Source organism: Homo sapiens, chromosome 18 (assembly GCF_000001405.40).
Source record: "Homo sapiens chromosome 18, GRCh38.p14 Primary Assembly".
NCBI classification, from domain to species: domain Eukaryota; kingdom Metazoa; phylum Chordata; class Mammalia; order Primates; family Hominidae; genus Homo; species Homo sapiens.
This window is the reverse complement of record NC_000018.10, coordinates 49,657,164-49,676,080: the sequence shown is the minus strand read 5'-3', so window position 1 is coordinate 49,676,080 and position 18,917 is coordinate 49,657,164. Positions and strand designations below refer to the sequence as shown.

At 45.4% G+C, this 18,917-nt stretch overlaps 1 long non-coding RNA gene across 2 annotated transcripts in view, besides 3 other annotated features; it reads right to left on the bottom strand.

Annotated features, from left to right (window-relative positions):
• LOC105372112 (uncharacterized) overlaps positions 1–18,917 on the bottom strand; it is a 127,792-nt gene that overhangs the window by 64,403 nt on the left and 44,472 nt on the right. Inside the window, exons 1-2 of one of the 2 annotated variants that reach the window (XR_007066364.1) lie at positions 14,896–15,318; positions 13,938–14,047 (exon numbers count right to left, since the gene is read on the bottom strand). This is a non-coding gene — a long non-coding RNA (uncharacterized LOC105372112). Of the gene's footprint in view, positions 1–13,937; positions 14,048–14,895; positions 15,319–18,917 lie in introns of those variants that run through there. The other variant, XR_007066363.1, reaches the window with a different exon arrangement.
• Positions 11,097–11,942: an enhancer, noted in NCBI's record as "H3K27ac-H3K4me1 hESC enhancer chr18:47190509-47191354 (GRCh37/hg19 assembly coordinates)". NCBI's record gives its function as "activates a minimal SCP1, AML or CMV promoter by ChIP-STARR-seq in primed H9 embryonic stem cells {active_cell/tissue: H9 hESC(primed)}" and the evidence as "EXISTENCE:reporter gene assay evidence [ECO:0000049][PMID:30033119]".
• Positions 11,943–12,790: an enhancer, noted in NCBI's record as "H3K27ac-H3K4me1 hESC enhancer chr18:47189661-47190508 (GRCh37/hg19 assembly coordinates)". NCBI's record gives its function as "activates a minimal SCP1, AML or CMV promoter by ChIP-STARR-seq in primed H9 embryonic stem cells {active_cell/tissue: H9 hESC(primed)}" and the evidence as "EXISTENCE:reporter gene assay evidence [ECO:0000049][PMID:30033119]".
• Positions 16,535–17,144: an enhancer, noted in NCBI's record as "NANOG-H3K27ac hESC enhancer chr18:47185307-47185916 (GRCh37/hg19 assembly coordinates)". NCBI's record gives its function as "activates a minimal SCP1, AML or CMV promoter by ChIP-STARR-seq in naive H9 embryonic stem cells {active_cell/tissue: H9 hESC(naive)}" and the evidence as "EXISTENCE:reporter gene assay evidence [ECO:0000049][PMID:30033119]".

Here is an 18,917-nt window from a genome sequence, read left to right as displayed (position 1 = left end):
AGATACCACGAACACAACGATCCCAACATCACATGGATGGGGAGAGGCCTGCAAACCAAGACAGTTCCAAAACCTTAGCTGTGTGGTAAATGCCACTTTTTTTTTTGAGATGGAGTCTCGCTCTGTTGCCTAGGCTGGAGTGCAACGGTATGTTCTCGGCTCACAGCAACCTCCACCTCCCAGTTTCAAGCGATTCTCCTGCCTCAGTCTCCTGAGTAGCTGGGATTACAGGCATGCACCACCATGCCCAGCTGATTTTTGTATTTTTAGTAGAGACAAGGTTTCATCTTCACCATGTTGGCCAGGCTGGTCTTGAACTCCTGACCTCAAGTGATCCGCCTCCCTCGGCCTCGTAAAGTGCTGTGATTACAGGCATGAGCCACCGCACCCGGCCCACATTTTTTCTTAAACTTTTTATTTTGGAATTTTATTTGATTTACAGAGAGTTTCTGCATACTCATTCAGTTTTAGCTTTTCCCAATGTTATCATCTTCCATTGATAAATTTGTGAAAACTAAGAAACCAACAGTGGTACATTACTATTAACTAAACTCCAGATTTTGCTTGCAATTCACCTGTTTTCCCATGAATGTTCTGTTTTCTATGCTCCAGGACCCAGTCCAGGTTCCACATTGCACTTAGTCACATGTCTTCTTAGTCTCCCCTGGTCTGTGACTTTTCTTACCCTTTCCTTGTTTTTCATGACCTTGACAGTTTTAAGGAGGCTTAGTAAGGTGTTTTGTGGAATGTCCCTCAGTTTGGGATTAATATTTTTTCTTGATTAGACTGGGGTTACAGGTTTTTTAGAAAAAATACCGTAAAGGTGAAATGCCTTCTTGTCATTTTTTATCTGGGGTACATAAATCCACATTACTAGTGGTGTCAACCTCAACCATTTGGCTAAGGTGCTGTTTGCCAGGTTTCTCTACCATGTGAAGCTCCTAGTTTTCCTTGTCCGTACTCTGTCCTTTGGAAGCAAGTCACTAGGTCTAACCCACTTACCCGGTAGAGACACAAGTAGATTAAAGTCTCCCTCTGGGAGATGGAAGTATCACACATTATTTGGAATTCTTCTATAAGGAAGAATTGTCTCCTCTCCTGTGTGAATTCATGTATTTGATCACCTATTTAGATCAATGTGGAGTCGTGTATAGATGCCACTTCTATTATAACAGTTGGTTGTGCTTTCTCTCCAGAGAGCCTTTGTTGCCGCTTTAGCTGCACTGGCCTGGGTCAGGTCCTGTCCTCCTTGTTGCCCACCCAGCACCCCCACTCCTCTCCACACTTCTTACACTGCTTGCTAAGCCTAGAGTGTCTTGCACATGCCTGTCCTCCATCCAAGTCCTGCTTGTTTTTCAATGACCAGCTCAAGATGCACCTCTTCAATGAAGCATTCTCAAAGCTTCTCTCTCTGTCTCTCTTAAAACAAAACAAACAAACAACTTCCACAATACCAACTGACTACAGTACCCAACCTGGCAGTTATGTTGCTGACTGGTTGTTTCACTCAGCTACTTCTTATAGTTCTTTTTTTTCTTCCCTCCTTCCCTCTTTCCTTCCATTCTTCCCTCTTTCTTTCTCTCCCTCCCTTCTTTCCTTCTGCCTGCCTCGCCTTCCCTCTCCTTCCCTCCCTCCCTCCCTCCCTTGTTCTCCCTCTTATAATTCTATTAACTCCTTCAGGAAAGAGGACATTCTCTTTTCTTTCTCTCTGATCCCTGCAAATAGCGGGTATTCAACAATTCAATTCATTGAACTGAACAGCATCAGAGGATCAAATCTATGCACACCAGAACAAATCTAGGTAGTACTGGATACCTTCTTTAAACCATGCTATTTCCCAGGAACAAAAGGGCAATTTTATTTCATGACTGATACATAATTTTCCTATAATTAAGCACACCTCCCTTAAACACTGTGACCTTTTCTGGACCAAATGCCAGGTCTGTTCTTATTGATGAGTTGTATCTAATCTTTTTCTTTTATTCTGCAGATTCCATTAGCCAATTTGTCTGACCAATGTTCATAATCAAGGGATTCGCTAATTGCAGATTGTGCTAATATTGAAAAATCATGTAGGAGACCCTTGTCCTAGGAGACGTAGGAAGCAGAATTGCTTCCCTAGTGCTTGATGTGAAAAAACCTTCAGAGTGCAATGGTACAGGATTGCAAATGCTGGTTTCAGGAGGGAAGCAACGGGAGATGAGCATGAGGGGTGTACAGCACTCCCTGGGACTCCACACAGTGTGTTGCTACAACACGCCCCTGGTCCTCTGGTCACCCTGTGATTTTTGAAGTACAATCCCTCCCTATATATGCCTGACCTAATGGGTTGCCCATCAATGCAGAAAGTAGACCTGCAACCTACACCAGCTTTGAGAGCAGAAGGGTTTGCCAGTGGTCAGACCAAGCCTGTTTGGTGTGCTTTGGTGGAGGAGGTTGGTGGAAAACAGGTATTCCTCTCATTACCTGGCAAACTGAAGACTTAAGGACCCAGCTCACAGCTGAGTCTCTGCTCACTGAAATGACCAGTTGGTAGAAACATCGGCTTGAATCTGCTCCCCTAGCTACATGACTGGCTTTTGAAGTGATTGGATGCGCATGACTTCTGTGCCTCTCACATGCAGCTTTCACTCTTCAGAGGTAATTTTGATTAGCTAGGAATGTACCCACTCGGAAATTGCCCCCTTGCTCTCCAAGGTTCTCAGGCAACACTGGGGGCCAAGCCATTATCAGAAGTTAAAAGGTCATGAGAACCTTGTGAGGAGCCGGTATGGTGTTGCCATCTGTCGACAACATTTCCACCCTCACCCCTGTGAGCAGAATTGCTAGGACTGTTCCCTTATGTCTGCCCCAGAGAAGGGCTCCTTTTCCCATGCCTGGAAGCTGGACAGTTATAGTGCCAGGGCATTCTATTCATGAATTCATAACACTGATTACATTGTTCACAGTTGGGCTGGACATAAGCACAAAATTATTGTACAATGGTTGCCAAGTGTTGCATTGGCAGAGAAAACCTACTCCAAATACCTTGAAGTCAAGTGGCCAAGTTACCTCATTAGAACTGTACCTTTCGAGCTCTCAAAAGGGACAGAAATTTTACAGACAACTTACTGAGTAACTACAGGGTTTTGGTTTTTTTTTTCCATCTTCAGTCAAGAGGAAAGAACATGAACTTGAACATGCAAGAGATAAGAAACTCAAGTCTTCCCCAGGAGCTCCCACACAGTAAGAGATGCTGACCATGAGGTCACCTGGAATCCCATCAGAGGCTACTCTCCTGTCCCCTCTCCAAGCCTTCCACAGCCACAGAGTCCTTCCATGAACCAGGGGTCTCAGCTTCTCACTTGTAGTTTGTGATGGTTAATTTTATGTGGCAGTTTGGCTGAGCCACAGTCCCCAGATATTTTGTCAAATGTTATTCTGGATATTTTCCTGAAGGGGTTATTTGAGATTAATATTTACACTGGTGGACTTTGAGTAAAGCAGATGACCCTCCATCATGTGCATGGGCCTCATCCACTCAGCTGAAGGCCTTGAGAGAAGAAACACTGACCTTCCCTGAGTAAGAAGAAATTCTGCCAGCAGACTGCCTTTTGCCTGCCCCATCAGATTTTGGGCTCACCAAACCTCCTCATTTGTGTGAGCCAATTTCTCAAAATAAATCTTTCTTCTCTCTCTCTCTTCTCTTTTTTCTGTGTGTGTGTGTGTGTGTCTGTCTGTCTGTCTGTCTCTATACATAAATACATAGATATACAACTCTGATTAATGCATAGTTAACTCTTGTTTTCATGGAGGGCTTACCAGAGTATTGGTCTGGTGGATTTCCTAAAATATCAGCTAAACTCATAAACCCCCAAAGACTCATGTTTTGCTCAGAGGCCTCTGATTCATGGCTTTAATTCAAAAGCACTGCTCTTGTTCCACATGAAGTTTCACTCACCCCAAATCCTAGTATTTCATATACTTTTTCTGTACTCTTCAGGCCTCTGATAATTACAAAAAGTAGAATCTCCTTCATTCTTGGATCTCAAGTCAAACCTAGGTTAATTGTAAAAAGTGCAAAAGGGAACAAGTATTCTACAAATTTCCCCTTGGATCTTCAAGCCTTTGGGTTCCCAACTATACCGTGTTCCCATGCCCACCCCCGCCCCCGCCCCAAGGAGGTAGATGGTATCATTCTGATTCTAGATTACAAGATGCAGCTGATATATTCAAGGGTATGGCATCTCTGGAGTAGGATAAGCATGAGAACATAAGCTTTGGTTTCCGGCCTTGAGCATCAAGCAATGCCAATGTCCGCTTCCCTAATTCTGATTTCAGCATATATTTCAGTTTATTACCACAATCTGTCTTATTTATCCAATCAGCTATTCCTGGGAGGAGCAAGTCCCCAGATGCCAAAGCATCAAAATAAAGAAAAGATGTAGTTAATACAGGAGGCTTCTGCCACAGCATCTCAACAGAAATCCTGCCCAGTAAAGAACAAATGTTCCAGAAATATCACTCCACCTTTATACAAACGCACTTTTTCTGAAATATGCACCTCTTTTGATGCCCTGATGGTTTGCTATCAGTCAGTTAGATTCCTTGGTTGACACTTCCTTGGCCCCAGGAAAAAAAATGACTTTGCATCAGAAGTAATATTTCAGAACAAGGTAGAAAGAGCACTGGGCAAGAAGTCCAGTGGGATCTACTCCTTCTTCCCTCACTCGCTGGGTGTGTGACCTTGGGCAAGTCACTTTCCTTCCCTTCAAGGGAGGACTGCTCCACTTATACCACTGTAAGTTTGGCCAAATGATCTCTAGGTCTGTCTTAGTCTATTGGGGCTGCACTATCAAAAATTCCATAGACCGGGTGGCTTATGAACAACTGAAATTTATTTCTCACACTTCTGAGGGTGGGAAGTCCAAGATCAAGGCACCGGCAGACTCAGTGTCTGGGGAGGGTCCACTTCCTCGTTCACAAACACCATCTTTTTGCTGCATCCTTACATAGATAGGTGGAAGGGGCAAATGAACTCTCTGGGGCCTGTTTCACAAGGGCGCTAATCCCACCTGTGAGGCCCCACCCTCTTGACTAATCACTTCCCAAGGGTCCCACTTTAAAATACCCTGCCACTGGGGGCTAGGGTTCAATATATGAATTTTGAGGGGACAACAACGTTCAGTCTATAGCAAGACTTTATTCAGTTCTGGCCTCCAGTGACCACTACTCCTGTGAAACTGGTACAGCCTAGTTACACAGGACTTTCTCCTATGGCATGTCCACATTGCTGATGACTTTAACTCACTCTACAGCTATCACATCTTCATAAAGCTCCTTAGTAAGCCAAAATTGTCTAATTTTGCCAAATGCAATTCATAGGTTTAGTTTAATAAAACAAAAGTGTTAACATATCTTAGAGCTCTTCACTTTCCTTTGAGGTAATATTTTCTAAAACAGTGTGTCTCAAAATTACGTTAACATTTGGAATTCTCTATTTTAGGAAGTTTTTAAAAAATTCATTAATACTTGCTACTAGACTAGAAGGACATGAAGTTTTGAGAAGGAAGCCACAGAAATTGGTTAATGCTCAGGTCATTGATTGAGTAGTCTGTTCTAAGGAGAGACGTCTTCTCATAGAACAGAGGCCATCATTTCTATTCTTATTAATAACATTTGATGTTAGAAGATGCTTCATCATATACAGAACACCACTGCTTACCTGTGTCATTTAATCACCATGACAACACTGTGAGGGAGGCGCTGTTACCTCTAGTGTACAAACGAGGAGACTGAGGCTTATGAAGCTTAAGAGACTTCTCCAGATTGCTCAAGAAGATCGCTGGCCAGGTGCGGTGGCTCACGCCTGTAATCCCAGCACTTTTGGAGGCCAAGGTGGGCAGATCACCTGAGGTCAGGAGTTCGAGACCAGCCTGGCCAACATGGTGAAACCCCATCTCTACTAAAAATACAAAAAATTAGCCAGATGTGATAGCAGGAGCCTGTAATCCCAGCTACTCGGGAGGCTCAGGCAGGAGAATTGCTTGAACCTGGGAGGTGGAGGTTGCAGTGAGCCAAGATCATGCCATTCCACTCCAACCTGGGCAAGAGCAAGACTCCGTCCCAAAAAAAAAAAAAGAATGCTTTGAGTTCTAGAAGACTGGAAGAAAAGCCGGACTCCAAATCCCTTGGTTATTTGATAAATACTGGCTGATGACAGTGAGGCAGTGGAGATCGTAAGATGACCTGTCTGACTCTTCAAATTATGAAGAATGGTGCATTGAAAAAGTTAGATGAAAATCAAATCCTTTTAAATGTTTGCCTAGGGAATTTACCTTTAAAAACCTTGCAGTGACTCATTTCTTACTAGTAAAGATTAAAATTGTGAGGTGCATAATTATCGCCTTATTCATCTATTTTTAAAATCCAGATTGTTCCATGCCCACATGACCCAAGTGCACAGTCCATTAGCATCATGAAGAGAAATGCCTGGGTTGTTGAAGCAAAAGCGGTGCCGTGAATCACAATGTCAGGTGACTTAGATACATACTCACACCACTTTTCTAGTCTACACCTGTCTTTATTCAGGCTTGACAACTAACAAATACTTTAGGTTAGATTTGGACTCACACTGGAGAGGGATCAGTCTTTCCGACCCATTCCTTAAGGCAGACGTGGAAAGAAAGAAGGAAGGGAAAGGGATCTGACAATGGTGGGTCCTTTGTTTCCACGACCTCCTGACCTGCCCTGGCTGACAGTGTTTGAATGGAGTTACTCTTCTTATTTTCCTCCCCATTCTTTTGTTTAAACCAAAAAATGGTCAGAAAACGTTGGGATGCATTGGCCTCCCTTCCCTTCTCACCACTGCTAATTCAGTCTAAATGAAGCTTCAGATTCTGTTTGGAAGAGGAACAGATTTCCTTGGTGAAGAGCCAAATTCTTAATGAGAGACTCTGAGAATTCAGTCTGTTCACGTCTCCTGAGGATCCTGAGGCTGAGCACAGCTTTGGCTGCAGAGCACAATAGGTTCATCCCACATCCCGGCAGTTGTGTAAATACTAGCTCCCCAGCACAGTAACCTTGGACGAGAGGCGGCTGGCTTCCCTGGCTCTGCCCAAGATAACAAGGACCAGAACCCCAGCAGGGAAGGGAGATGAACAAAGCCAGCATGGGACCAAGGCTACCCAGAAAGAGGGGTCCTACCACCTGCCCCTCACCTGGAATGTGCCTGGTGACCTTCCCCCTCCTCCCTCCACCCACCCACCCCTGCCACTTGCACATAGCTCACGAAGCCTAGAGGGAGAGTGGGATGGAACAGCTGCCTGTCTGGAGAGTTACTCAGACTCCCAGGGAAAGAGCAAAAGTCCCTGAAGTTTCCAGCATGGGAGAGAAGGAACAGGCTTTGTGGAGGGGAAAGGGAGTTTGTTGGGTTTTTTTGTTTTTTGTTTTAAAAAAAAAAGGGAGAGAGGATGGCCGGGTGTTGTGGTTCAGAACTTTGGGAGGCCGAGGCAGGAGAGTTGCTTGAGCTCAGGAGTTTGAGACCAGGCTGGGCAACATAGTGAGACCCTGTCTCAAGAAAAAAAAAAAAAGGAAAAGAGAAAGAAAAAAAGAGGAAAAGGGTTAGAAACAAAAGGGTTATCCAAAAAAGCTCAACGAAAAAGACCAGAGAGCTTCACACAGTGACCAGGAGGAACTTGGTGCTCACCTAAAATGCCTTTCCTCTCAGAGCAGGGACCAGCCCATGTCAAGGCAAGAAGGGATGCAGAACTCAGAATTCTTCTGTCCTAGACTGCCTGGAGAGTCTGGTATAAAGCTGGGGAGCTCTCCTGAGAAAAGTGCCTGTGAGCTCACTCACATGCATATCACGCACGCACATGTTCATGAATGAATTCGGGGCTTTCATAGACGTCTCAAAGCTCCTCTTTGGGATCCCCAAGATCTACAGCTCCCTAGCTTAAGAACTCTGCTTCCAGTCTAGGAGTTCTCAACTGAGGGCAATTTTGCCTCTCCCCATCTCCCATCCAAGGGGGACATTTGGCAGTGTCTGAAGACATTTTTGGTTGTCTCAACAGAGAAAGAGGGGACATGACAAGCATCTAGTGTGTAGAGGCCACAGGTGCCACTAATCATTTTATCATGCACAGGACAGGCCCCCAGAGCACAGTTATTGACCCCAAATATCAACAGTACAGACGTTAAGAACCCTGCTTCTCTCCCGACACATCATCAAAGCACAGAAATCTCAATAATCTGACCCAGATCACAGGTGTGGTTATTCGCAAGACCAGGACTCCCAGTCTTGATAGGAAATGATGATTGCTTATTTATTGAGAACTTATCATTTTCCAGACACTATTCCAAGTACTTCACATGAATGGATTCTCTTAATTCTCACAACTATCCTCTGAGATGAATGTGGTTATCCCCATTTCACAGATAAGAAGGTTGAGGCAAAGAGAAGCAAAGTCTCCCACCCAAGGTCACATGGTCACAGTGGCGAGGCAGAGTGTGAAACCAGGCAGGCCCGCTCAAGAGTCCGTCTGGCCAGCAACACTTACAGGGCTCTGCCGGGATTCTAGTTGCCACCCAGATTCCAAAAGGGCCAGCACAAACACAGCGTCCTCCTGGCTTTGCAATCTTAGTCCTCTAAAGCCTTTTTTCTCATGCAGACCCCAGCTTTAGCTTCTTAGTGTTTTAGGCTTGGCAGTTTTCCTTCTTCTGAGGATCTATTTCTCCCATTCCTAAGTGCATCTTACATTTCTGTTGTCACTTACAGTTTTCAAAATATCATCCACTATTTCATCTGAGTGTCTAAACAAGCCTATAAAGCAAACAGGACACTTCGCAGATGAGGAGAAGGAAGAACAAGGTCACTGGGAAATGAAATGTCCAGAGCCAGCACCGGCAGCCTCCGAGGGACGCATGTTCCAAAGCTTTTGTGTCCTTCCTCTGACCACTGCCACCAGTCCAGGTGGCTCTGCCTCAGTCTTGGAATGAGCTGGGAAGCCCAGACCCTCAGCCTGAGAGTGGAAGTGTCCTTCTAGCCTCTGCAACATGGGAGTTCCTAATCACATGAATATTGTATTAAGCATTTTATTGACCTTCAGTAGAAGCATACATTTGTGTTAACAATGGATGACTTTACGTGAAATGTGTGCATTTTATCTTTGCTAATGAGATGAAACAATCTAAAATTCCCACGTGTCATCCTAGCTCCTGAATTGCTTAATCTGTCTCCCTTCCAGCTCCTTGCTATATTTTTCTGTTCAAGATGATGCTATGTTGTTGGTGGTGTTGCTGTTTCATTTTGGTTTTTCAAAAAATGAGCTGTGCTGGGCTGCCTGCCAACTGGTGCCCCGACTCCATCCAGAAAACCAGGGGTGCTGAGCTGAGCAGCACCCCACTGTGAAGCCTCTGCATATCCCTAGACTCCCAAACCAACGGGTCCAATCTACAATTTGCATCTTGTCTTGGCAGAAATCTCTTCTGCAAGAAATGGTTGCCAGTGTCTGAATAAGACTCAGTCGTTTTAAGCAACATTCAGAACAAGATCCCAGAACAGAAAAAGAAGTTCCAATTTTCCTTGTCTTTTCCCTTGAGTCTTACAGGCTTTGCCTCTTGATTCTTTACAGCAAACAGAATTGCCTCTAGGTAAAGATAAAAGTGAATGGACTCTCAGTTTTCCTTAATCTAATTACAAATGTATGCGTTGGCTTATCTTCTATCTCATATACACATAGCATCTATTACATATTACTCCCATGCCTCAACATGCTCTGATTTAAGGCAGATGAAGGGGTTATTTGCAAAGATAACTAATTCTGTTTGGTTTAATCATATAACTATATCTTTACTGTCTGTTATTTTTTTTTCCTCTCAGGCTGGAGTGTAGTAGCTCACTGCAGCCTCAAACTCCTGGGCTTATGTCAGCTGACTATTCTAAATCAAGATGAGTCATTCCCAAGAGACATTTCAAATCATTTTGGAGAAGTAAGATATTCACACATGAAGCACTTGGATATTCATAAATAGGCACCTCTAACCCATGAGTGGGTTAATTCATACAGGTCAGGATTCTGTCATATATAAGGGACAAAAAGTCCACTGCGGCTGAAGGAAAGGAGTCAGGGAAGCACAAGGACAGTGCCTGTCTCAGGGACAGCTAGGACGGGGGGCTCCCAAGATAGACCGAGAGAGACTCACTCTCCTCTGGATTCTGCTTCCCAGTGCCAGCCCCCAGGTTTGCATTATTCTTCCTGCTGCAGAGGATTCCTCTAAATGGCAGTGGAAGGCAGGTCAAGGGCAAGACAAGACAAGACTGTTGAAGACCATGCAATGGACTGAATGTTATGTCCCCCCAAAATTCCTATGTAAAAATCCTAATCCCCAAGGTAAGGGTATCAGGAAGTGGGGACTTAGGGAGGTAATTAGGACCTGGCAGTGGAGCCTTCATGAATGGCATTAGTGTCCTCATAAATGAGGCCCAGGAGAGACCCTCTTGCCCCTTCCACCATGTGAGGACATAGCAAAAAGTCACCACCTATGTCTTAGTCTGTTTTCTGAACTGGGCAATTTATAAAGAAAAAGAATGTATTTCTTACAGTTATGGAGTCTGAGAAGTCCAAGGAGGAGGGGGCACATCTGGTGAGCATCTTCTTGCTGGTGGGAACTCTGAAGAATCTCAAGGCAGTATGGGCTATCACATGGCAAGGGGACCAAGCGTGCAAACCCACTTCCTCAGGTCTCTCTTCCTATTCTCATAAAGCCACCAGTTCCCCTCCTATGCTAACCCATTAATCCATTCATCCACAAATGGATTAATCCATTCATGCATAAATGGTTTAACCCATTCATGAGAGCAGAGCCCTTCACTTACCTCTTAAAAGCCCTGCCTCTCAATACTACCACATTAGGGATTAAGTTTCAACATGAGTTTTGGAGGGGACATCCAAACTGTAGCAAGCTGTGAGCCAGAAAGCAGGTGGTCACCAGATACCAAATCTGCTGCCACCTTGATCTTGAACTTCCCAGTCTGCAGAACTGGGAGAAATAACGTCTGTTGTTTTTAAGCCTCCCAGTCTCAGGCATTTTGTTATAGCAGCCTGAACAGACTGAGACGCTCATATCACCCCTGCTCAGCAACCTCCACCAGAAGGAAAGGGTCGTTCTCATTGCCTCCCTATGTCAAAATCTCAAGGTAGAATGACAGCTGACCAAACCCTGGTCATGGGTTGCAGGGACCAATCATCGTGTAGGTGGGGGGTGGGGCTACTGTGATTGGCCAAGCCCGGGTCACACGTCCATCCCTGGGACCCTGCAGTGGAGTCACGTCATGGCAGCCCCAGCAAGGTCACAAGTCTGGAGTTAAAGAGTTGCACTTCCCCAGAGGAAGGGGGGTGGGCGGTATTATTGCCAGAAGAAAGGGAAAGGGCCATTGGACAGGCCAAAAACAACAGATGTCCACTATAATTATGTTCCAAGAGTTCCTCTGAAAGTGGTTGTTTGGAACTAAATTACATTTCCCAATGAAAACAATTGTATAACAATGCCTTATGTTTGCATGGCGTTTTATGAGGCACTTCCTTACCCATTATGTTGTTTGACCCCTCGGTTGCCCTGCCAGGTAGAAAGGATAGGCAGTTCCCTTCTGCCACACTGAGCCAGCCCTTAAAGTGCTGCAGCTGAGGGGCCCTCTGTGCCGGCTCCCGGGAGCCCTGAGGTTCTGGGCAGGGAGGCAGTTTCGGTGGAAGAACTTCCAGGACAGGGGCAGGTGTTGTGGGGAGCTGGCTGCTTCTGCCAGGCCTGAATGCTTCTGCTCCCTTCTCCCCTGACTGAGGCCTGGGCCCCTTGGATGGAGTCCCCAGGCTGTCTCCAGGGCTGTGTAAAATGCTGGTTGGAGTAGAAGTAGAGCAGGTGGAATGAGAAAGGGGCAGCAGGGAGCCCACACTGCATCCGGGGCAAGGGGCGGAGCTGAGCTGAGCTGAGCAGCACTGTGAGTGGCTGGAAGTAGGAAATGGGAGGAAGCAGTGGGGCGGGGGCACTTTAAAGGCAGAAATATTTCATTTTAATTTATCCACTGCATGATACTGCAATACAACTCTCCTCATATAAATCCCTGACTCACCAGTTAAACTGTCCGGGACAAGACACGCAGCTTGTCTGAGGAGGTAGGGTGGGTGCTGAGGGATCACACGGAAGGGACAGAGGGAAGGAAGATTTGGAGAGCTCTGGAGAAGCAGGAAATTGGAACCAGAGATGCCTGAAGGACACATAAACTCCAGGGATGAGCAGGAATTGTGGGAAGACATTGGACACCCCAGGATGGGAGGAGAGGTGTTCTGGTCACAGGGCTGGGGACCTCTGTTCAGTAGGATGGCAGTCGCCACCCCAGCCTCAGTGCTCTGTGACCTGAGCCCCAGCACCAAGTGCAGACCCACACCCAGGCCCTAGAGGTGGTGGCCAGGGATAGAGAAGGCTAAAGAGGAAGACAAGTGGTAGGAATATGAAGGGAGAGGCCCTCTTCCTCAGGGATTATGGATGGACACTGATCATTCTCAGGGGAGGAGGGCAGACCAGGCAGAAGCCTCAGGGGTTGTCCTCCATAAAAAAGTTAAAAGTAATCAGCAAAAACGAGAAGAAAAGAAGACACTTCCCACATCACCTTTCTCAGAAACTTCCAGTCATTCCCTAGGACCTAGGGCACTAAAGGCCTTTGAAATCTGCAGAACCTTTGACCTAGTAATTCTGCTTCTATAAATTTATTAAGAAATAATCCGAGGTACATGTAACTATGTATATACAAGAATGCCATCGAGCCTTCACATACCCTGAAAAATTTAAAATAATCAGATAACCATTAATAAAGAATTGATTAAGTACATTACAGTCTTCCCTCAGTATTCACAGAGAGATTTGTTCCAGGATCCCTGAGGATACCAAAATCTGGGATGCTCAAGTCCCTAATATAAAATGGCATAGTATTTGCATATAACCTACAAACATCCTCCCCTAGACTCTAAACCATCTCTAGATTGCTTATAATATCTAATACAATGTAAATGCTATGAAAATAATTGCTATACTATATTTTTAAATTTATATTATTTTTATTGTTGTATTGTTATTTTTACTTTTTCAAATACTTTTGATCCAAGTTTAGTTTAATTCTCAGATGCAGAACCCACAGACATGAAGGGCTGGCTATAAAGATGAATTACTGTGCGTCCATTAAAAATCAGGTTTCAAAAGATGGCTTCATGAACAAATGCTCATAACATATTAATGATATTTTTAAAACAAGTTATAAGGCACGTGTAACATATGACTACGACGACTGTGACCAAAAGTTACTGGAGGGAAATACATCAAAGGCATTGCATTCTCTAGGTGATACGCTGACTCATGATTCCTTTTGGATTTATTCTTTTCTATATTTTCCAACATTTCTATAATTAGCATGTATTACCTTGTAGAAAAAAGTAAAGGTGTAGTTATTTGTTGATTATCCATTTTAAAAGAGTTCTCTACGGCCTACAGGAACAATTTCAGCTCTTTACCTTGGCATGCAAGACCCTTCACAATGTGTCACGTTCCCCATCTCCTGCCCTCTCCCCTCCTCAGGCCATGCCCTTCCTGGCCCCTACACAGGTTGTCCCACATCCCCTCCCCAGCCTCTCTCACCTTCTTTTCTGCCTATTCAAATCCCAACAGCGTTTGCAGTCACACCTCCCCAGAGCACCTCCAGGCCTTACGTATTTGAACTGGACCAGAAACAAGCACCTGGGCTTGACTGGCTGTGTGGCTTCTTCAGGTGCTCTCAGAACATCAAGGGCAAAGAAAACCTCACTTTTGCTAGAAGCCCTCCCCTTGGGAGCTTACGGCAGCCTCCCACGTGCCTGCGCACGCTTTCCTTCCTCCTTACTGTCATGCTTGCATAAAGGGGAGTGAGTGCTCACCAGTGCAGGGAGGCCACTCCTGTTGCCACCAGACTGTCGACCAACATTGAGAATCCAAGTCAGCTCAATTCAATGGTCAAAATTTCAACATTTGGAAACCACTTCTGACCCTAAGGGCAAAGGAGAAAGATACAACCACTTCATTCATCCATTCATTTACCCCTTATCGTATTTATTCATCTTTTAGTTTAGTTATTCAATTGGATGATAATTTAAGCTGCAAATACTTGAGTATCTGCAAGCACATTCCCAGGTGTTGGGACTATTCAGATGTACCGGCAGTGTCTGCTGCCTTCATGAGACACTTGCTGCATGGCGGGAGGCAGGCAAATGCAACCACAGGGCAGTAAAAGGCAAGACCAGCCGGGCCCACTCCCAGCACACACACGTGCACAGGGACATGCAGGCACACAGACAGACATGCATTTCTAGAGCAGAGCATGGAGTTTGGCCCACAGCAAGCTAGATGGATGGGGTGGCAGGGCAGCAGTGAATTGTTTTTTCTCTCAACACTTCCAATACCAAATATATGGGAGCTTTTTCCCATCTCAGCCAATTCTCCAACTCTCTGACACCAAATGGGTATCCTAGAACTCAATTCAATTCTGCCACTAACTACTAGAGTTAGCATAGACCTTCCATGGTAAAGGCTCAGTCCTATAAACTCCCCACTTCACATGGGGACTCTTGAAAGTCTCAGGTTGCCGCATGTTCTTTGGACCCACTGGCTATAAATCAGGGGTACCCATGACCCCCTCCTCAGGTCTGAGAACTTGCTAGAACAGTTCACAGAACTCATTAAAACACCTCATTACATTTACTATTTATTATAAAGGAAACAACTCAACAACAGCCAAATGGAAGAGATGCACAGGGCAAGGTATGGGGGAAGCGCCATGGGGCTTCCATGCCCTCTCCAGGTACACGGCCCTCCCAGCAGCTCCATGTATTCACCAACCTGAAAGCTCTCTGAACCCCATCCTTTAGGGGGTTTATGGAAGTTTCTTTCTGCAGACATGATGGCGAAATCATTTGGTCTTTGGTGATTAAGTTTATCTCCAGCTTCTCTCCCCTCCCTGGAGGTCGGGGGGTGGGGCTGAAAGTTCCACCCTTTAATCATGCCTTGGTCCTCTGTCAACTGCCCTTCTTGAACTCTCTAGCTATCAGGAGTGGCCTCATTAGAACAAAAGACATCCTATCACCCAAGAAATTCCAAGGGATTTAGGAGCTGTGTGCCAGGAACTGGGTGGTGGGGGAGACCAATATTTTATTTTCATATCACAGGGGGGCTTTTAAATAAATGATTGCCTCTTGTTCAACCCCACACAAGAAAGGAGAGAAGACGTTTTATTTTTTGAGATGGAATTTCGTTTTGTCACCCAGGCTGGAGTGCAGTTGCATGATCTTGGCTCACTGCAACCTCCACCTCCCGGGTTCAAGCGACTCTCCTGCCTCAGCCTCCTGAGTAGCTGGAATTACAGGTGCACACCACCACACCTGGCTAATTTTTGTATTTTTAGTAGAGGTGGGGTTTCACCATATTGTTCAGGCTGGTCTCCAACTCCTGACCTCGTGATCTGCCCCCCTCAACCTCCCAAAGTTCTGGGATTACAGGCGTGAGCTACCAAGCCTGGCGAGAAGATATTTTAACATGGTAACAGTCATTAGGCTCAGAGCTTGTTTCTCAGCAGTGGAAAGTTCTGTATGGACATTTGTAAAGACACAGAAATAAAGGAAAGTAGTTCAGTGCAGCTGGAGCTCAGCCTCCAGGCTGGGTTTATGGGACAGGTAAGGCTGGAGGGGTAGGCAGGCCCAGGTCAAGAAGAATGTTTTACACCATACACGGGAGAACTTCATCCTGAGAACAATGATGTCCACTGAAAGGCTGACATGAGCCGATTTATCACTAAGAATGATGCCTCTGCCTAAAAGAAGAAAGGATGGGGAGAAAGAAGTAGAGGAAACGTAGGGGCAGTATGTTTTGTGGATGGTTGGAAGGTTGCCACAAAGAGAGGTGACGGCCTAGACTAGGGCAGTGCCTGAGGAAATGGTGAGACATAGAATAATTGGAAGCATATTTGCATAACTTGGTTTCTAACACCATTCTCAATAAAAGGAACCAAGGCTCCTTAGAAACATTAGGGGCATTCCTGCCTCCTGGGGCAGGAAATGAAGGAAATATGCACCAAAATGAGTCTGGTGCATCTTGTAGTGCCATAAAGGAAGTGCTACAAATACACACACACACACACACACACACACACACACACACACACACACACACTGATGGGAATACGGCCAAGGAGCATGGAAGCCAACTGAAAGAGCTTCCAATGACCAAAGCTGGAACAATTTGAACAACAAAATAAAGTAGGATTGGATTATAATGCAAAGTATAAAATAAATATCCAGGAATCCATGCTAATATAAATAAATGATTGCCAAGTTAATAAATGAGGGAGAAGAGATAAATTTCCTGTGCAGAAGAATTCCAAATAAATTATGTAGATTTCCCAGTCCTCATAATTCCCACTCCTTAAGTGTGAGCTACACATAGTGACTTCCTTCCAAACAATACAGAATGGAAAAGTGGAAAAACCCAGTAACTTTACAGTGGAGAAACCTGACAAATTCCACCTCCGCCAGGTGATCAAGGTTAACATCAACAGTGATAAATTGTGTCGTTAGTATGTGCCCTTGATAGCATGTGATGAAGCCTGTTCAAAGAGGTAAGATTTCATTCATTCATAACATTTAATGCATATAAGCTATTCATTCGTGTGAAAAACATTGGCAGCCTTTGTACCAGGCACCGGTCTAAATGCTGAGGATTCATCTACTGGAGGGAGACAGACAAGAAACAAGGAAATAGCACTGCAGGTATAAGTGTTGTGAAGAAAAGAAAAGCAGGATAGGAATGTCAGGAGGGTAGGGAAGTTATTTAAAAGGGGTAGGCTGTGAGGCCTCTCTGATAAGGAACATTAGAGCAGGAATCTTAAGGATTCACGGGTCAGCCTTGCAGTTGCTGAGGGAAGGACATCACAGGCAGAAACCTGCATGATTGCAACCTCCAGGATGCCCCCAGCAATCCCCACCTCCCATTATTTGCACCCTCGTGTGGCACCTCCAACTATGAATCAGGGTGGCTTTGTGTGACCGACCAAATGGATCAGGAGTGATGGTGTGTGACCTTGGAGGCTAAGTCATAAAAGGCATTACAGCTTTCACCTGGCTTCCTGGACACTTTTGCTCTGAGGAAATCCAACCTTCATGCCCTCAAGACATCCTAATGCAAACCCATGGAGAGCTCCACGTGCCTAGGAACTGGGGCTCTGGCCAACAGCCAGCACTAACTTGCCAGCCACATGAGGGGGTCCCCTCAGAAGTAAAGCCCCCTACTAGCCAAGCCTCAGATGACTTGGCTACTGCCAACATCTGTCTGCAACCTCATGAAAGGCCATAAGCCAGGACCACCCTGCCTAGCTGATCCTGAATTCCCATCCCACAGAAACCATGAGAGATCATAGATGATTCTTACTGTTTAAAGCCACTAAGTTTTGGGATGATCTGTTATGCAGCCTTAGATAACAGAAACCTCCAGCAGTTACAAAGACCCTAGGCAGTAGTATGCTTGTGGTATTCAGAGATCCATGGAGCAGGGCTAGGGGCCAGTGTGACTGGAGCCCAATGAGGGTACAGAATGGAAGGGGCCACAGTGAGGATAAGGGAGTGACTCAAACTGCAGAGGGTTTGAGCTGATCGGAGGAGCATGGTCAGATAGATAGACAGATATATATTATATATCTATATATAATACAGATAGATACCACTTATTTATTTGAGAGAGTCTCACTCTGTTGCCCAGGCTAAAGTGTGGTGGTGCAATTGAGGCTCACTGTAGCCTCAACCTCCCAGTTTCAAGCAATTCTCCTGCCTCATCCCCCAGAACAGCTGAGACTACAGATGTGTGCCACCACACTCAGCTAATTTTTATTTTACTTTTTGTAGAAATGAGGTCCCACTATGTTGCCCAGGCTGTTCTTGAACTCCTGGTCTCAAGTGATCTTCCCACCTTGGTCTCCCAAAGTGCCAGGATTACAGGCATGAGCTACTTACCGCACCAGTCTCGCTCGCTCTTGCTCTCATTCTCTCTCTCTCTATATATATATATATATATAAATATATATACAAATATATAATATATATAATATAAATTATATATATGTGTGTGTGTGTGTGTGTGTATTTAAATATATACTGGGCTCATGCTGGGATTACAGGCATGAGCCACTGCACCAGGCCATATATGTGTGTGTGTGTATTTAAATATATACTGAGCTCATGCTGGGATTACAGGCATGAGCCACTGCATCAGGCCGTGTGTGCGTGTGTGTGTGTGTGTGTGTGTGTATTTAGAGACAGGGTCTTGCTCTGTTGCCCAGACTGGAATGCAGTGGTGCAATCACAGCTCACTATAACCTCGAGCTCCTGGGCTCAAGTGATCCTCCCACCTCAGCCTACAGGTGTGCACCAGCTAATTTTTTTTTTAATTGTATAGACAGGGTCTTGCTATGCTGTCCTGGCCAGAGTACAGTAACTATTCACAGGCACGATTATGGGGCACTGCAGTCTTGAACTGCTGGGCTCAAGCGATCCTCCCTCCTCACTGTCCCAAAGCCCTGGGATTACAGGTGTGAGCCGCTGTGCCTGGCTATCCCATTTATGGTTTGACAGGATCCCTCCCCAGCAGCGCTGGGAATAGGCAGCAGCAGGGTGAGGATGGAAGCAGGAGGAGCAATCAGGATGCTTCCACGGTGTCCCAAGCAAGAGCTGATGGTGGTCTGCACCAGGATGGCAGAAACAGGCAGTGAGGTGGGGTATAAGAGAGTCAAGAAGGACTCCAAAGTGTTTGGCCTGAACACCTGTAAGAGTGGCGTTGCCGCTTACTGAAGGAAATGGTTAATTGGAAAAAACCAAAAG